Raw genomic sequence first — 19,807 nt, 5'->3', positions numbered from 1 at the left:
TCACACTGCAGAGGCCCTGGCTGCCCCATGACCTGGGCTCCCACGGGCTTAACTGACCTGGGACAGTTAAGCGCGGCCCGGGCCAACCGAGCACTGGGTCGCCTGAGCAGCTCGGAAGGCCCTTTTTAACTTTAGACCTTCTGTTTGATGAAGAGACACATAGATTATCAACTTAGGCCAGGTTCAAAAGGCCCTTCAATCATATGGAAATGAAACGTAACCTCCCACAAGGAAAAGGATTAACTCCCCCATTCAACCAGGAGACTTAGTCTTACTAAAAACTTAGAAAGAAGGATCCCCCAAGAATCAATTACAACCAAAATAGAAAGGGCCCCTATCAGGCATTATTAAGCACTCCCACTGCTGTTAAACTCCAAAGTTAATTTTTTTTTTTTTTTTTTTTGATGAAGTCTTGCTCTGTCGCCCAGGCTGGAGTACAATGGCTCGATCTCGGCTCACTGCAACCTCCACCTTCTGGGTTCAAGCAATCCTCCTGTCTCAGCCTCCTGAGTAGCTGGGATTACAGGCACGTGCCACCATGCTTGGCTAATTTTTTTTTTGTGTGTGTGTATTTTTAGTAAAGATGAGGTTTCATTATGTTGGCCAAGCTGGTCTTGAACTCCTGACCTTGTAAAATGCCTGCCTCAGCCTCCCAAAGTGCTGGGATTACAGGCATGAGCCACTGTGCCCAGCCTCAAAGATTCTTATGAGTCCTCACAGATGTCAGAGGAAGATGCCATGACCTATACTTGCAAACTCCCAGAAGACTTAAAGCTATTGTTTTGCAAATGCACAGATAAATATTAATAACATGATGCTGTGGATGAGCATGAAAGTTTTTCTCTTACTCCTAATTATAATGTTTTCTCTCTTACCGCTTTGCCCTGCTGATTGAATTCAATAAAGGAATCTCTACCAGCAGACACTTGATTTTTACCCTTCCTAGGACCTTTAACAGATATCTTGTTATTACTAATCTTTGGTCCTTGCTTGTTTAACCTCCTTGTAAAGTTTGTGTCTTCTAGATTACAATAATTCCATGTAAAGACGATGCTGGCACAAGGCTTTCAATCCATCCCCTCTTCTGACCCAGAAAATAAAGACATCCTGCCTTTGGGTCTTTTAGAACAGGTATCCAGAGATTTTACTTCTCCAGTGCTAGACAGGGTCTATGCCCATAACATCAGCAGGAAGCAGTTACAGAAGATGAACCTCCACCCTTCTGCAAGCCCCTTAAGATTAAGGAGGAGTATATAATCTCTGATGGGGAAATGAGGTAGGAGACCAGAAGGACCATTGAACAGAGCAGGATCTGGTCAAAACAGGGTGCAGTGAAGAAGCCTGCTGAAACCAGCAGATGATGATGAAAGTGACCTCTAGTTGCTCTCACTGCTTATGAGCATAAAGACACTACCACTGGGACCATGGCCAGTTTACAAATGTCATGGCAACACACCTTGGCAATGGCCTGGAAGTTACTTTATATGGTTCTGGAAACTCCCTGCCCCTTTTCCAGGAAGTTCTGAATAACCTACCTCTTAATTGGCATGTAATTAAAAGTGGGTCTAAATACAACTAGCTAGCAGCCCACAGGCACCAACTCTGGGCACATTGCCTATGGGTTAGCCCTGCTCTGCAAGTAGCAGCACCAGTTCAATAAAAGTTGCTTGCTTTCACCAGCGGCTTGCCCTTGAATTCTTTCCTTGGCAAAGCCAAGGAAACTACAGTCTGGGAGAAATTTCTCAGGCTACAAACCAGTTTTGAGGCTCGCCTGCCCTGCGTCACTATCATTGTTTCCTTGGGTTTCCCAGGAATGTACATGTGTGAGACTGCTGCCCTGCTTATAGATCTGTTTCCCTGCAGGAAACAGGAGTATCTTGCCTGGGGCTTCCAGAGTTGGAGATACATGTAGTTTCACTACTGAGTGCTAACATTTAATTTTGGAATCAAGTGATGCATTCAGACTGGCTGCTATCATTCTGTGGTATACATGTAGTGAACACATTTGTGACTGAGTTTCCTGCTTTTAGCTGGAGCAAGAAAGTTTTGTAATTGTGATTTGTACAAAAAAATCATAGGCAAGAGAATGTGTGTAAAATAAACTTTATTGTCAGAGGTTTCTAAAGGCTTATCCTTCAAGGAAAGTGGACATATGCTGAAGAGCTGATAAACAGTCTACAGCAGTGTTATTCTAACTTAATCTTGATTCCAAGTCCTTGCCATTTTCCTCTAGCTGCTGTTGACTCCAGTTATATATAGGTTGGGGGAAAGGGGATTATTTATGGATCTAGGCATCATTGTCTCTTGGGCAGTTATCACATTTGCAGACTGAAGGGATGTGATTTCTACAATCAAACTGTCCATTTGGAATACAAATCTGGAGTGGCTATAAAATTTGCTTTTCAGAGATGGAGCTTTCAGATTTGGACTTTCAATTGTTCTGTTGTTTTAGTTTTTCTCATCAACTGGGGAACTGTTTGTGACTAAGCTTTGTTAAAAGTAGAGAAGAACTTTCCATAGTTCCAACATTAGTTGCTACTTGAAACAAACAAAAACACACACGCACATACAACGAAACAATAATCTTTGGTGAGGTCTTGCTGATACCTAACTGAGGCTAGAGTGAGAGCTAAGTGGTGATACAGGCCAGGTGCAAACTGAGTGCAGCTAAGTGGATAATCTCTGGTAGTGAACTACAGTCTAGAAGAAGATAGTAATAATAGATTGAAAAGAAAGTCTCCTGAAATGAACTAGCTGGCCTGTGGTGTAGGACACAGGACCCCAGCCACCTTATGGTTCTAAAAGCCTTGCTCAAAGCCGCTGCAGATGAGTTAGCTAGGTCTCTACCACATCCATAATACTCCTCTGGAGAGAAATAAAGGTCTTTCACACCTCCCAGGAAGGGATTTGCTTAGCCTCAAATGTGCACATTCAGAAATAGCTTGTCATAAGAAAGAGAGGATAGTTTGCAGAGAAATAACCCTTCTAAGTCCACATCCTATTCCTTTTAAATAAGAGAGTGGTGCCAAGGGAAGAGCCCTAGAATGTCAAAGCCAACAGGGTGCTCAGATACCACCCAAGTACAGTTCCATCTTTGGCCATAAGGAGACAATGGTGTCAAGAGGCTAAGGCCATATGATCTGTAGGTGAAAAACCCAGGATGAGAATCAAGGCCTCAAACCTTTTCCACTACATCACAGATTTAGGAGCAGTTAGAGGGAAGGCTTCAATCTGGAGAACACTAACAGGTTTTAGAGATTATTGGGTCATGGTGGCTGGGACAGAAATAAGGATTCACAGAAAGATGTTTATAGTCAATGTTCTTTTACAGTAAATGTTCTTTTGGGATTTTCCTTGATAAAAAGGCTGAGCAAAAGTGAAAAAAAAATTTCTTTCTTTCTTACTTTCTTTCTTTGTCTTTTTCTTTCTTTCTTTGTTTTTTTTTTTTTTGAGACAGTTTTGCTCTTGTTGCCCAGGCTGGAGTGCAATGGTACAATCTTGGCTCACCACAACCTCCACCCCCAGGGTTCAAGCAATTCTCCTGCCTCATCCTCCCAAGTAGCTGTGATTACAGGCAGGTACCACCACGCACAGCTAATTTAAAAAAAAATTTTTTTTTTTTTTATTTTTAGTAGAGACAGGGTTCCTCCATGTTGGTCCGGCTGGTCTCAAACTCCCGACCTCAGGTGATCCTCCCAAGGTGCTGGGATTACAGGTGCGAGCCACCACGCCTGGCCAAAATTAAAAATTTTCTAATTGCAATTCTGAACAACTTATGGGTTGTGAAATCAATATAGTGGACTGCTTACTACTACAGGCTTTATTTAAATACTAGGAAGGGTGGATTACACATAATAAAAGATTTTTTAAAAACTGATCACAAAGAATTGTGTATTTCTCACTGCATCTTGTGGTCAGAAAAGTTTGAGAAACTGCTCCACATAGGCAAATTATAGGTTCAATCTATCCGTCTACCTCTTTTTCTCTTCTCTTTTTTTCCATGCTATGCAAACAAGACCATGGAGAGAGGAAGGCAAATTCCATCAATGGGTGGGGTTAAGCCTTTTCTATGAGGTAGCTGCACATTTGGGACACTCCTATGCTGGCGACTTGACATTCTAGTAGATAGATTGTCCTTTTCATCTTTAGCTACATGTTAAAATTACTTGGGAGCATTTTAAGACTACTAGTGTCTTCCACCCACCTGGAAGCATTTAAATCAGAATCTCTATGTGTAGAGTCCAGGCACTTGTGTTAGTTAAAACCTTACTAGGCTTTATAATATGACAGAATGGTTTAAAGCTACTGAGTAGACCTACCCTATTTCCCACCATTTTCTTTCTTTCTCTTTCACCATAGGCTTCTTTCCCATGAGAAAGTAAAGATTTTAGTCTCTCTTTTCACAGTCCGAAGTAAATCACTATCTTTCTCAACTGGACTTCCAAGGCAAAGATTTCTCTCCATTTACCTATCTGGATTTTTACAAAGTTGGCCTCTGGATTCCCTTTTCCCAAAGCTAATTCACCACAAACGCACCCCTCAAGTCAAGGAGCTGGGCTTTCATACACCTGCACCTGTCAATCATGGGTAAATACTTTGCAGGCAGGGTTGCATGTGGGATTGACATAAACTACCAGGTATTGCCAGCTCTGAGCCTCAGGCAAGCTTGTGACTAAGTGACTCCAGTAGTCTGAGGACAGTCCTTACTCAGAAGGGTCTTTGGAAGCAAAAGCAAACATAGGCATGAGAGGGTAAAAAAAAAAAATCCCATGTGATTTTGGCTTATACCTAACAGAACTTGTGCAAGAATGGATATTAAGGTGGGTATTGTACACAGCAGAGCTTAGTAAATACCAAGTCTGCAGTTTAAGGGATAGGCTGAAGAGATTTTGCAGGTTTGTAAACATTTTTGCCAATTTGAACATACTTTTGTTTGCGTTTGGTTTTTCTCCTCAGTGGTAAGAGCTAGGCACGATAAGGTAGCTAGTATATTATAATTTCAATCAATAAATTTTTATTTTGCCAAGGACCAAGATGAACTACGACGATTTCAATTATTTAGTACTTTATTTTCATAAGTTTGAAAATTAGGACTTTTGCTCTTTTTTGGCTCACGGCATCTTTTTGGATTTCACACTTTCTCAAAGGCCAGTAACTTAGAATCTAAATTATGATTGCTTATTCTTTCAGTATTCTAGGGGAAAGTTGATTTAATCTTGACAAAATGTATTCAATTAAAATAATTGTTCTCTTAAATCTTTTCTGTCTTTCTTTTCTTTTTTTTTTTCTTTTTTTTTTTGAGATGGAATCATGCTCTGTCACTCAGGCTAGAATGCAGTGGCGCAAATTTGGCTCGCTGCAACGTCTGCCTCCTGGGTTGAAATGATTCTCCTGCCTCAGCCTCCTGAGTAGCTGGGACTACAGGTGCATGCCACCACGCCCAGCTAAGTTTTGTATTTTTATTAGAGATGGGGTTTCACCCTGTTGTTCTGTTAAATCTTTTCACCTTTTAAGTTTGTCCTTCTCTTCTCCAATTTGCAAGAGTGGGGTGTGGCTCGCACCGAAATACTGTATTTCTTAGAGCTACTTATTCCTGGAGCCTGGCAGTCTGGGGGCCTGGAGGGGGTGTGTCTAGAAAGCAGCCCTCTCTAAGTTGAGAATAGCTATGAGAATTGTGGGTTATAAGGTTTTGAGCAGCTCTGGCCTCCCCGTCCTCTTTTATTTCTACAGTGGAGTGTGGCAAGAGAAGGGACCCATCTGAGAGTGACTTCATATTGTGGCCTTTCACCACTTACCTCTGGAAATTTGATTCAGGCAAGTCGGGAGAGTCTCCGGTATTCTTCTCTGAGAACTCTGTTTTCATTATACAGCTGGACAATGGAATCTATGATTTGCCTGTAGAGGTTAGAGGTGCATCCTGTTCCAGGAAATTATTACAATTTATGCAAGTTATACACGTTTGCTTAAGAGAATGCTTTCTGCACATTTCATGTTCTTCCTCTCTATCTTAGCCTAGGGAGAAAACCGTGGAGGGCTGGAACGTTAGTGTGATGGGGTGGAAGCTTAATTTTCACATGATTCTCAACAAATGCCAGCACATCACATGTATTATCATGTCCAATGGCTGCAATATGAAGGAGGCTTTTCCAAAATAGTTACGGCTTTGGTATGGGAAGGGACCTGCTTATGGTTCTTCTGGCCCAGCACAATGTTATGAAATGATGGCCTCTGTGTGAGAACAATCTAAGAGGAGGGGGGTTGGAGAGAACCACCTTGGGGTGGTAGAATGAAGAGTCACCAAGACATAAGGGAAGCTGATGAGGATGGCAGTAGAGGAGACTCATTCTGCTATGTGAGGTGCTCAGAAACCTGGGTTCTACTGAATGCCAATCACATAAGAAGCAGAGAGACAGCAGGCAGTGTACAGCAGCAGACAGAAGACAGCAGACAGCTTAGGAATCACAAGAATGATTTTAGAAGTAGATACCTCTAAGATGAAGGCATATCTTTAAGCCTATTTATTTACCTATAAATAGGAATGATAGTAGCTGCCCTGCCTCTCTAGCTGGGACATTTGTAATGAATAAGTGAAGTAAAGTATGTCAAAGTGTTTGAAATCTATAAAACTCTGCCCCAGTCACACGCCTTTAGAAAAATACATATTGCCAGAAGCAGGCTGACTTGGGCCTCTCCTACCATTTTCTTCATCAAAGCTGCTGTGATGACGTTCTAGCTTTTCTCACAGGCAGTTGTTGATGAAAAGGGTCTCCTTCAGGTGCTGCCACTGGCTCTGGATCTCATCTTCTGCAGCCATTCCACCAGGACATGGAATGAGATGGGAAGTGAAGATGCTGATCACTAAAGGGATAGTCAGGGGCCTCTCGTCAAGATCCCTGCCTTTCACCATTCTTTTGCCAACTTCATCTTCTCATCAGGGAACATAAGGCAACTTTCTTTAAGAGCTTTTAAGGTTTCAAAGAAAGCATGGCCAAGTGCTAAGCAAACTCCACAGGGATGCCTCCCACATGGAGATATGGGAAGTATAAGGCAGGTTGACAGGAGGTGGGAAAACACTGAAGGTCTCTGAGTAGGGCTTTTCTAGCACTAGAAAAGGTATGACCACTTCCTTGAGATGACTTATAGGTACTAGGGAATATCTTCCTCTCTACAAAATATCTCTCCTGAACATATTTTGTTTTTGTTGTTGTTTTTTGACAGAGTCTCATTCTGTCACCCAAGCTGGAGTGCAGAGGCACCATCTTGGCTCAGTGCAACCTCCGTCTCCCAGGTTCAAAGGATTCTCATGCCTCAGCCTCCCAAGTGACTGAGACTACAGGCGTGCACCACTATGCTTGGCTAATTTTTGCATTTTTAGTAGAGACAGGGTTTCAGCATGTTGGCCGGGCTGGTCTTGAACTCCTGATCTCAAGTGATCCACCCACCTAGGCCTCCCAAAGGGCTGGGATTATAGGTGTGGGCCACCATGCCCGGCCCTGAACATCTTTAACAGATGGTAAAGACCTTCTTCTGCACCATTACTGTGAAATTGGAAAGAGAAATAAGGATGCCTTTGTCAGAAGATGGTATGACTAATTAAAGCCACAAACTTACACCCATCACTGACAGAATGACAAGCCTAATATGGTTTATATTACTGTGAAAGCTCAATGAGTGAATTAATATAATCTCTTTTTATTGCATAGAAGAGTATATAAAGCATATAGTCTCCTAACAATCCAAACTTTTGCCCCCAAAGTAAAGTCAAACATTCAAGTAAGGGAGAGGAGATATAGGTCAAGGTTTTAATCTATACACACACCAGAGAGGCTACCAAACCAAAGGGCTCTTATATACCTAATGAAGCTCCAATGGCTAGCGTGGAGTTATTCTGGGAAGAGGGCATGCTGGCGGCATTGCTCTTAGATTCAGCCTTTTCTCCAGCAGATAGCCTCATTGTTTATTTAGATGGAATTACAACACTGAGACGAAACTAACAGACATCTTAAAAATACCTTGGTGCTGCACAAAGATTGAGAACCCTGGCTATTTACCAAAGGGTTGCCAAGATCAAAGTCTTGTCTTTATGGAAATCCCCTGATATTCCAGTAGTCAGATGGAACCTTATGGGAAAGCAAGCATCTGAGGGGAGATGGAGACTGGAGCTTGAAACCCAGGAACCATTATAATTGCACCTCCAAACATATGGACAAGCCTGCCAACATTCTTGGGATGGCTAGAACAGCTTGGGAAAGCTGTTCAGGAACTATAATTATCAAGAGTATTTCAGGAAGGCTGGGTGCAGTGGCTCACATCTGTAATCCCAGCACTTTGGGAGGCAGGGGTGGGTGAATTGCTTGAGCTCAGGAGTTTGAGGCCAGCCTGGGCAAAAAGGCAAGAACCCATCTCTACCAAAAAGGCAAAAAAAATAGCCAGGAGTAGTGGCATGCATCTGTGTTTTCAGCTACTCAGGAGGCTGAGGTGGGAGGGTCATTTGACCCTGGGTTTTAGGTTGTGGTGAGCCAAGATCATGCCACTGCACTCTAGCCTGGGTGACAGAACAAGAGACCCTGTCTCAAAAAATATATATATTTCAGGAAAGATGAGATGTCCCATTTTAAAGAAGAAGATCTGTTAAACAGATTTGTACATGCGCGGCAGTAGTGGCAGAGAGTCTGCCATAATCTCTTCACTCTCTCCATTCTGGCCTGCTTTGAGTATACCGGCTTGCAGATGCCGGTCTGGACCAGAGGGACTGAGGTGAGGACAGGAACAGAGCAAATTACCTGACACACCAGGGACCTGTACTTGAGAGTTGATCCCAGAGCTGTGTTCAGCCTAATCACTTTTTTAAAGTGAATGTTTAGGGCCTGCCTGCAGAGAATAACATCTCTCAGTTTAGACAGAGGTGGTGAGCATGTAGAATGTAGGAGCTACTGAGAGATTGATGGAGCTTTATTTTTCTTATCAAAGGAGCACTTACTGGCTGTTTCCACAGCCGAGGGGCCTTCCTGTGCATCAAAGAGGAAGGCATTGCTGCTGGGAAGCTGGTGGGAGTCATGGCAGCTGGAATGAGTCAAATACTGTTCATCTAGTGAGTACTCCAGGACTTCATCCATTTCTTCCTCCTGGACTTCCCTCTTGAGCCAGGTGAAGTAGGCAAGACAAGGGATTAAACCAAGGCAGCCTGGAACCACATAGCTAGTTCTGATCTGAAGCTCATGGAAGAGGCACCAAAACCAAAGGGACCATCACATCAAAGAGGAAGTATACAGTCCACTTTTGACTGGGAGTAAAGTGTGCCTAGAGTTAGTATAGAAGTGAAAAAAGCAAGTGATCAGTGCATTGACCTCATAACACACAGATAAGGCAGCAGACTCAACAACTACTCTACAATACGCTCACGGCACACAGGACACACAGTGACCCATACTGTCGGCTTCAAAATGCTGTGTTTAAATTTTATTTAATATGATGTGGAGTGGTCCACTGAATACTGGCTCTTGAGACAACACAACCTCCCACGGCTTTTGCAGATTTTAGACCCCTAGCTCTAAATACTTGGTATGGTTTCAATTTATTTTTCAAGGTAAATTTCTGGCTATAAAATATCTGCCAACATAATTCAGGACAACTGTGCAGAAACCAGATAGGCATCTCACTTTGGTTTGTAACCCTATAGGTTTTAAAGATACAGAAACCAGGGATCCCTGGTTAGTTTACTTTTCGGTAAGACTGACTGGTTAACTAAGTGTGAGAAATTACTAGGAACTAGGAACCAATACAAAAACTGCAAAGAGAACAGAGAACCATTTTTAAAAGGACACATTGTATAATCAGTCAACAAAAAAAGGAACAATCAGCAGTTTCTGCTTTTTCTAGATCTGGGACCTTTAACCTCTTGAGTCCTTGCTTCTGGAATTCTCTCTAGATTTGGTCAGTCCATTATCAGCCCCTTCATCATGTAGAGTTACCTGGGAGCCAGTGGCTTTTGCCTGTCTTCATTTTTCTTACCATTGTGATTTTCTGCAAACCAAAATTAGAAAGAGCTAGTCAGAAATTAAGCAGGTCCCATTTCACACATTGCACACATGGGCCCTATATGATCAGGGACATAACAGCTTACATGTATGTTCAGAATGCTCTGTGAGAATTATTGCAGGAGGCCTCAGGTTGTGTCTTTAGAGAAGTGGCCTGGCAGGCTTGCCTTAGCCCACTGGACAGGGTGTTCCTGATATGGTGAATCATCACCAGACGTCAGCTGCCTGAAGCAGAGCAAAAAGTTTTAAATGCCTTTTGTTCCCCAGCTCAAAGAATACTTGCCTGGCTGCCCTTTGGACTTCTCCAGTTGTAACCTTCCTTCCTGCTACAGGCTGGTTGCCAGACCACGACTGTTTGTCCCATTGCTACTCACACACAGAACCTGCTCCAGTCTCTGAGAGGACAAATAGCCCTGTCCTACCTCTACTCCAAAACCAGAGGACTGCCCAGGTGCCTTCAAGTCTGTCCCTGTTGTGCTTCCTCAGATGTTGTTGGGGGTAATTCTTTTTTTTCTTCTCAGTTTGTTAGTGAGCATTGGGGTTGATTCTGTGAAAAATATTCCAGTATAAATCAACTTTTCTAACACCAGCTTCTACTATATACAGTGCCTGAACTAACCCCAAAAGATTTGGACGGTTTATTGGGACCCAAAAATAAAAAAATAAATAACCCTGAAAGAGAAATACACTCATGAACATTAAGATACTACTTCAACTGATCTGTACAGCAGCCTTGGAATTATGATTTGACCCACTTTACAAATGGGGAAACAGAAATTCAAGAAGGATCAATCACTTGCACAAAGTTAGTAAATACAGTGCTGAGACTAGAGCCTAGGTAATGCTGATTCTTAGCCCATGGGTCTTCCCATTCTAACAAGCTGCCTTCTGTCATACTGTTCTTTCTGACCACAAAGATGGAATGGAGACTTCTGCTTCTGGCCAATTTGGAGTAATGGGGACCTGATTTGTCCTCCACCTTAAACAACTGAGAAACTGGAAAAAGTATTTTAAACTCTATCTTCAACATTGGATATAGTGCAGTACTATAATAAATAAAAGAGGTGAGCCCTATGATTGCTCCAGTTTGCTGCCTGAGATTGTCAACTGTAGAGCAGGGAGGGAGGACCCAGGCAGAGCCTGGTAGTAACTTTGAAGAAGACAGGGTGGCTAGACATCACAGGACAGACTAGAGAATAGGTTGCTGCACAGATAGAATGCCTTGGATATCTGTCTTCAATCTTCAGCTAAGTACTGATTAGTACATGTATTTGAGGAAATTATGCAAAGCAGGGCAAAGAACTTCCCAAAAGGAATAATCTCTGTAGCTCACACATAGCTTGCAACACTTGGTGTTTCCATCAGCTAGTGTGAAAATCCCTTTTAATAGAGGGAGCATTGGTTAGAACAGGAGTCCCCAACCCCCAGCACTGGTCCATGGCCTGTTAGGAATGGGACCGCACAGCAGGAGGTGAGCAGCCAGCGAGAAAGCATTACCGCCTGAGCTCAGCCTCCTGTCAGATCAACGATGGCATTAGATTAGCATCGGAGCACAAACCCTATTGTGAACTGTACATGCCAGGGATCTAGGTTGCATGCTCCTTATGAGACTCTAACTAGTGCCTGATGATCTGAGGTGGAACAGTTTCATACTGAAACCACCCAATTCCCAACCCCTACCACCCCACCCCCACCTTGTCTGTGGAAAAATTGTCTTTCGTGCAACCAGTCCCTGGTGCCAAATCTGTGGGAGATCACTGGCTTAGAATCTTCAAAAGAGTATTGCCCCCAATGTAAACTATGGACTTTGTGTGATAATGACATGTCAATGTAAGTTCATCAACTGTAACAAATGTGCCATTCTGGAGAGAGATGTTGATAGTCTAGGAGGCTATGCATGTGTGGAGGCAGGGGGTATATGGGAACTTTCTGTACTTCCTGCTCAATTTTGCTGTGAATCTGAAACTACTCTAAAAAATAAGGTCTATTTTCTTAAAGGTCATTTTGCCTCCATAGTGGGAAAAAAAATAGCAGTTGACTAATAGCTGCTCTTATGCTGCCTGAAAAAAATTAAAAAGCCAGCTTGGAGAGATGAAAATTGTTTTTAAGTAACTTTATTGTATACCAAAACAAAGCTCAAAGAATTTTAACACAAAATGCAAAAAAATCCAGCACCCAATAAGTTACAATGCTCAATGTCTAACCCCAAATAAAATAATGTTAGGAATGCAGAGAAACAGAAAACTGTAATCCATGATAAGAAGGGGGAAAAAAATCAATCTACTTAAACTGACTTAGAAAGGACACATCAGGTGAGAATTAAAAAACAATAAAAAGGACACAGATGAGAGAATCTGTAGATAAGCACATTGAAACAAATATAACTGTATACCTTGTATTAAAGAAGCTAGGCCAGTGTGGTGGCTCATGCTTGTAATCCCAGCACTTTGCCAGGCCAATGTGGGTCACATGAGGTCAGGAGTTTGAGATCGGCCTGGCCAATGTGGTGAAACCCCGTCTCTCTGAAAAATATGAAAATTAGCTGGGTGTGGAGGCATGTGCCGGTAATTCCAGCTACTCAGGAGGCTGAGGCACAGGAATCACTTGAATTTAGGAGGTGAATGTTGCAGTGAGCCAAAATCTCACCACTGCACTTCAGCCTGGGCAACAGAGCGAGACTCTGTCTCAAAAAATAGAATAAAATAAAATAAAGAAGCTAGAGGAAAATATGAAATGATGAAGAGTTACATAGAAGAACTTAAAAAAAGACATAAATTAAATTTAGATGAAAAATAAAGTCTGAGATGAAAATACACTGGATAGGATTAACAGCAGATTAGATGCTGCTGAAGAAAGATTAATCAATTCCAAGACATGGAAATAGAAAGAAACAGAGAGAAAGAAAAGATACAACAAAAATGAACAGACCATTAGTCAGCTGTGGTAAAATTTCAAAGCAGCTAATATAAATATAACTGGAGTCTTTGAAGGAGAAGATAGAGAGAAAGAATAGAATATACATTATATATATTTGATGTATATATGCCAAATATAATATATTGTATATGCCATAGGTAAGACTATGTATGTCATTATTATTCAAATTTGATGAGAACTATAAGCATGCAGATGCAAGAAACTAAATAAAGTAGAACAATATGTAAAAGAGAAAACTATACAAGGTCTTATCTTAATCAAACTGCTTCAAACGAGTGATAAATAGAAAATCTCAAAAGCATCCAGAGAAAAAAGACATATTATGTACAGAGAAACAGAAATAAGAATTATGGCAGACTTCTTGTTGGAACAGTGTAAGCCAGAAGACAGTGGAATATCACTTTTCAAACACTTTTTTAAAACAAAAACTGTCAACTAGAATCCTACATCCAGTGAAAACATCTTCCAGAAATGAAGGTGAGTTCTTATGCTCATCAAGATGAAGTAATCCACTATACTCTACCTCTCTTACTGATTGAAACTAAGAACTCTCAGGCCAGGCACAGTGGCTCATATCTGTAATCCCAGCACTTTGGGAGGCCAAAGCAGGTGGATTACTTCAGCTCAGTAGTTCAAGACCAGCCTGGACAACATGGAGAAACCCTATCTCTACAAAAAATACAAACATTAGCCAGGTGTGGTGGCACACACCTGTAGTCCCAGCTACTTGGGAGGCTGAGGTGGGAAGATTGCTTGAGCCCAGGAGGCACAGATTGCAGTCAGCCAAGATCATGTCACTGCACTCCAGCTTGGGTAAGAGAGCAAGACTCTGTCTCAAAATAAAAAACAAAACTTAGAATTCTAGAAAGAATATGAAAAGTGATTACCTGAGTGCTCTAAAGAGAAAACAATAGAATGCAGATTAAGGACCATAGTCAAAACTAAAATAAAATCTATAATGGAGATAAGTTTGCATTTTTTCTCCCCACTTTGGGGCACTTGGGAGGAGCTAAGGGTCTTCAGAGCCTGTAGCCAACTTACCTGTGGCAAGTTTTCTGACAAGGATCTCTGTCAGCTGGCTTCCTTGTACCATTTGCTCACAGAATCTCTGTCTCTGGTAGTAGGCAATGTCAGTGTTCCTGAGAAGGCCCTCAAAAGACTTGACTGTGTTCTTCACATGCTGGGTGAAAAGGTAGCAGACACCTCTCCCTTCCTGTATCTTCTGTTGTAAGTGGGTCAGTTCTTCAGCCTGAGCCTGAATTAAGGGATCATGTATCCTAAGGTGGGAAAGAAGAGTAAAATGTATGAGGGAATGTAGTGAATAATAGGTTATAGAAGTTTCAGAGGAGAGATCTCTTAGAATCCCTGTAAGGAACTCCCAAGTTGAATTCTTTTTTTCTTTTTTTTTGAGACAGGGTCTCACTCTGTTGCCCAAGCTGGAGTGCAGTGATGTGATCTCGGTTCACTGCAACCTCCGCCTCTGACTCCGCCTCCCAGGTTCAAGCAATTCTCTTGCCTCAGCCTTCCAAGTAGCTGGGACTACAGATGCCCACCACCATGCCAGGATAATTTATATATTTTTTGTAGAGATGGGGTTTTGCTATGTTGGCCAGGCTAGTCTTGAACTCCTGACCTGAAATGATTCATGCACCTCAGTGTCCCAAACTGCTGGGATTACAGGCATGAGCCACTGCACCTGGCCCAAGATGAATTCTTGTACAAGTTGTGTGACTTGCCTGTGGCAGAAGGAATGAAGAAGCAGCCTTGGGTTTGTCTGTTATTTTACTAAATTTCCTTTAAAAAGATGCCCCTTTGGTTCCCCACTTTAGCCCATGTACCTTTTCATATGCAGTAACTGGCAGAAAAAAAAAAAAAAAAAAAGCCAAGTTCAAAACTGTTGGGCCGGTATCTCTAGTATTAATTGAAAGTTAAAAAGAAAAATCAGTGAAAAGGTCAAGAGGGGCAGTATTCTTCTGAATGACATGAAGATAGACTATAATCAGTAAGAAGGCAGTTAAAACTAAAGTTCTGGCCGGGCACAGTGGCTCATGCCTGTAATCTCAGCACTTTGGGAGGCCAAGGCAGGCAGATCACCTTAGGTCAGGAGTTTTGAGACCAGCCTGGCCAACATGGCGAAACCCCATCTCTACTAAAAATACAAAAATTAGCTGGTGTGGTGGTGTGCACCTATACTCTCAACTGCTGGGGAGGCTGACCTAGGAGGATCACTTGAACCTGGGAGGTTGAGGTTGCAGTGAGCTGAGATCACACCACTGCACTCTAGCCTGGGCAACAGGGTAAGACTCCATCTCAAAAAAAGAAAAAAAGTAAAGTTCTGAGTAGTAATTTCATTACTCTGTGCGGATTTATTTTTTTTCTAATTATTGTTTAAATATTTCTCATGGTAATATGGTTTGGCTCTGTGTCCCCACTCAAATCTCATGTCGGATTGTAATCCAACCAGGGACCTGCTGGATAGTGACTGGATCATGGTGGTGGATTTCCCCCTTGCTGTTCTCATGATAGTGAGTGAGTTCTCATGAGGTCTGGTCGTTTGAAAGTGTGCACCTCCCTCTTTGCTCTCTCTCTCTCTCCTGCTCTGGCCATGTGAAGACCATGCCTTCTTCCCCTTTGACTTCTGCAATGATTGTAAGTTTTCTGAGGCCTGCCCAGAAGCAGAAGCCTGTACAGCCCACAGAACCATGAGCCAATTAAACCTCTTTTCTTTATAAATCACCAATCTCAGATATATGTTTATAGCAGTGTCAGAGTGGACTAATACACATGGGTTCCAATGTAGAGTGTGAGCTCTGTGAGTCTAAAGATAGTGCTACCTATTACCCAACTTACAGCACCCGGTAGTATGTACCCATACAAGTAGTTATTCAGTTAATGTTTAGAACCATGTAATCCCAGAGCTAGACTGAACATTTACAGTCATCTAACCCATCTAATGCTTGAATTTTCTCCCCACCAGTCTTCTAAGTAGTTATCTGCAGGTCCTCTTTCAAACTCTATTTCTTAGAGTTACTAGAAAGTGTCAGAGGAAGTAAAGACACATACTGGGGAGAAACAGGGGCTCCAGACCTATCCCACCTTCAATCAAATATCTCTGCTTTGGTGAGTTTTACAAATTTGAGCTTCTATGATTTCATTTCAACAAAGGATTAAAAGAAGTTTCGAATGCGACAATCTACCTTATGTCTGAAACCCTCTAAGGATAGTCAATGCTGGTCCTGAGCGAATTAATAATTCATTTTCCACACAACAGCTGCTCAATCATCTATCTACCCAACAGCCCTACCAGTTAATACTCCACCTAGTATAATACTTTTTTAAAAAGTTTGGAGGAGAAACATTGTTATCATGAAAGGCACTTTGGAAAGTTTGAAAATATCTCTTATAGAAAATATTAATGACAATCACCACATCTATAAATGGGGACAAATATAATAATTACAGAAAATAGTTGTTCAGAGTTTTATATGTGTTAGAGATGGTTCTAACTACTTGCAATTGTGCATTTAATCTTCATAACCCTCTAAGTAGATACTGTCAGTATTTGCATTTTATAAATGAGGTAGCCTAGTTTAATGACACGCAGAAAAGTGAAGTAAATTTGACCAAGGACACACAAATAGAAGCCACATTGCTAGTATTCCAATGCAGACAGCTGTCTCCATTTTACTAATATGCTATTTAATGGAAAACCCTAGAGACCTAACTAGACCATAACCTCATTGTGTCTTAGTCTAGTTCTGTGCCTGAGTCATACATTTCTGCCCTTCTCCTTGCACAAATTTGCTCTTTGTTCTACCAGCCTGAGCTGCCCTACTTCAAACAGTATTTATGCACTTCCCACAGAGGTACCTCCTTACCGGAGCCTTGCAGCTGACCTCGGCAATTCGGCCAGCTCCCTCTCCTGAAACTGCACCTCCTCCTCCAGCACAGATTCTATAAGGTCTTTGCACTCTTCACACTCTGAGAAAAGATAGACATGCCTGCATCATGGAAGGCTGGCCATGCTGCTGTGGTCACTGCCTGCAGGGCAGGAGGCAGGGTCTATCTCAAGGATAAAAGTATCCCCAGTACGAGGCTTTACGCTGGGATTTCCATATCTGTATTCCTCAGTCTCTCAACTACTCCCTGTTTTAGAGATGAGGAAAGAAAAGCCTGATAAAGTCACTTGACAAGATGATTCAGCTGGAATGAGGCAGTCAGAATTCACATCCCCTGAGGTCTGACGCCACATGTTTTTCTTTTCTTTTTTTTTTTTTTTTTGAGATGGAATCTCACTTTTTTGCCCAGGCTGGAGGGCAGTGGCACAATCTCGGCTCACTGCACCTCTGACTCCCGGGTTATTCTCCTGCCTCAGCCTCCCAAGTAGCTGAGATTACAAGTGTGTCCCACCATACCCTGCTAGTTTTTGTATTTTCAGTAGAGACAGGGCTTCACCATGTTGGCCAGGCTGCTCTCAAACTCCTGACTGCAAATGATCCACCCACCTTGGCTTCCCAAAGTACTGGGATTGCAGTAAGTGAGCCAATGCACCCAGCCATGACTTCAAATCTTAAGGCCAATTTACCAAGCCTTACAGCCTCTTAAGTAAAACATGAACATAAGGGCATGAAATAATGACTTCCTGTGTGTTTGGGAAGATACTAAGAATGGTAGGACTGATGGTCCTCCTGTGTCAGGAGTTTCAATAATCCCAAAATATTTCAAAGATTTAAACATTTATCTGTATACAGCTGTGTAAAACTGTATATAGAGGAGAAAGATCCAAATGATATGTGCCCAAAAGCTAATAGGTGGTGTTTTAAAGGGAGAACCAACACATAGTGTTTGTCATGGTACTGTTGCAGTAGGTTTTTAAGAATTATCATCATATGATCATCACCACCATCCAAAGAGGTAGTTCCTACTCTATTACCATTACAGATGAGAAAACTGAGGCACAGTGATGATAAGTTAGATTTGAACCCAGGAAATTTGGCCCCAGGGTATATGCTTTTTAATCACTGCACAATAATACCTTTATACTAGGGTCTTAGGTAATATCTTTCTTCTTCTCTAGCTTGAGAAATTTTTTTCCTACAATTATAATGAGTGAAGGTTTTTTTTTTAAACTAGTTTTTCCACACACCAAAGCTCATCTTTTCACTTCTTTAATAAGTGGGCTTTTGGTTTTACTTTTCTATGACAGTAAGTTAGACAGCAACTTTTAGCCACCCCCCACACAATGATGTATTTTAAAATAATTGTAGAAATTGGAAAACAAACTCAATTTCTATGTTAACCAGAATCCTCTTCTAATATCCCTGTTCCTCTCATGCCCTTGTTCCCATGTTTCCTTGTCATTACAGCTTCCCTTCCCTGACTATTAGTAACAGGTTTGGGATTTTACAGTGGATTTAAAAATGTGAGAGCTAACTGTGGAGAGGAAGGGGCCAGCCCCTAACCTGGCCTGGCCTTCTATTGAGAATGGCAGTCTGTTCCACTTGGCCTTGTTCTCATTTTGGCCATATGTCTCATAGCTCTGATCCTGGATGTCCACCTGCAGTTGCTTGCTGTCTGTAAAGTTGATACTCAGAGAGAGACAGAAAGGGTGTTACAAAGTCTCTGATTTTTCTGGAAATACCCTCAATCTAACCAGAGCATGAGGAATGGCTTATCTGAACTTTTGTGGGAAGAGAATCTTGATCCAGGTATCATAAAGACTTTTTTCCATGTCTGCTATTGAAGTTCACATCTCCACATATCTGTGACTCAGTTGAGAATAGCTAGTTTTAAGTTCCTTCAAGGCAGATAGGGTATACTATTACTTCTATCACCCCTGATGCTGTTGGCACAGTGCTTTGCAAATGGGCGCTCTTAAAAAAGTTTAAATCGAATCCTGAGATGTTTTAACCAACAGTGATGTTACATGTTTGTGGAATCTGATATTCATTGCTGAGAGGGGAAAGACAGTTTCATGCCTAAACCAAGGTTTTAGTCTCTATTCCTCACTACACTCACCCTGCAAACTTTACACCTTTGTGCCTCAGTTTTTCTGTCCTTGGCAAATTGAGAGTAAAAGGCCCACTTCTACCTTTCTGGGAGTGTAGTTAGCATAAAATTAATTTTGATAGAGAATAAAGTCCGCAGTGTTTCATTTCACAGAGGAAAGATGGGCAATCATTTATCACTTTGGTGACCATGCCCCTTTGGGACCTACTACATTTCTGCAGGTGATTGGCCAGGCAGTAGGCAGTAGCTTTGGATGTCAGGAATTTCTCTGTGAGGTCTTGGAAGTTCTGTTTGCACTTTTCCAGTTCAGAGCGCAAGTACTGATTGGTTTCCAGGATGCTCATTTCTGCCCTTGGACCAAAACAAGTGGTGGCAGATACTGCCATGCTGAAGCTTGTGGTGGAAGTAGAATCAGAACCCAGACAAATAATAAATTAAAAACAAATGCATGGATTATGGTAATGGTTGCACTACTTGGGTAAATTACTAAAAATTATTCAACTGTACAATTATAATGGGTAAATTTTATAGTATGTAAATTATACCTCAATAAAGTTTCTTTACATTAAACAAAGGATTTAAATGAGTCAAAAGAAAGCAGATCTGATTCATAACTTACTTTTGGGATAAATTTCATCAGCATCCCGCAACTCTGAGAATCCTTAGCCACAAAAACAAGACAAAGGTATCTAAGCTTAGACTCTAAGGTACTGTCTGTGGTTCAGGCTCTGATAGGAATGCCAGAGGTAAGACCCAGTGCCAGGTAATGGTCTGGAGTCACAATCAGAATTAGAAGGTGGGGGTGTCATGGAATGTTAGGATCT

General features: G+C 41.8%; 1 pseudogene across 3 annotated transcripts; it reads right to left on the bottom strand.

Moving 5' to 3' along the window:
- Positions 9,434 to 19,722, bottom strand: LOC105369199 (NBPF member 6 pseudogene; annotated as a pseudogene). 3 transcript variants are annotated; one of them, NR_160533.1, is made up of 6 exons: positions 19,603 to 19,722; positions 16,853 to 16,955; positions 14,016 to 14,251; positions 10,460 to 10,584; positions 10,124 to 10,262; positions 9,434 to 10,023 (listed from the first exon to the last, which is right to left on the bottom strand). The product of NR_160533.1 is annotated as an NBPF member 6 pseudogene, transcript variant 2 (transcript). The 3 variants fall into 3 exon arrangements; NR_160534.1 differs by lacking the exon at positions 16,853 to 16,955; NR_160532.1 differs by lacking the exons at positions 10,124 to 10,262; positions 10,460 to 10,584.
- Positions 19,723 to 19,807: the final 85 nt, after the last annotated feature.

This window comes from Homo sapiens, chromosome 1 (genome assembly GCF_000001405.40).
Source record: "Homo sapiens chromosome 1, GRCh38.p14 Primary Assembly".
Lineage (NCBI taxonomy): Eukaryota > Metazoa > Chordata > Mammalia > Primates > Hominidae > Homo > Homo sapiens.
This window is presented reverse-complemented; position numbering and strand designations above follow the sequence as displayed.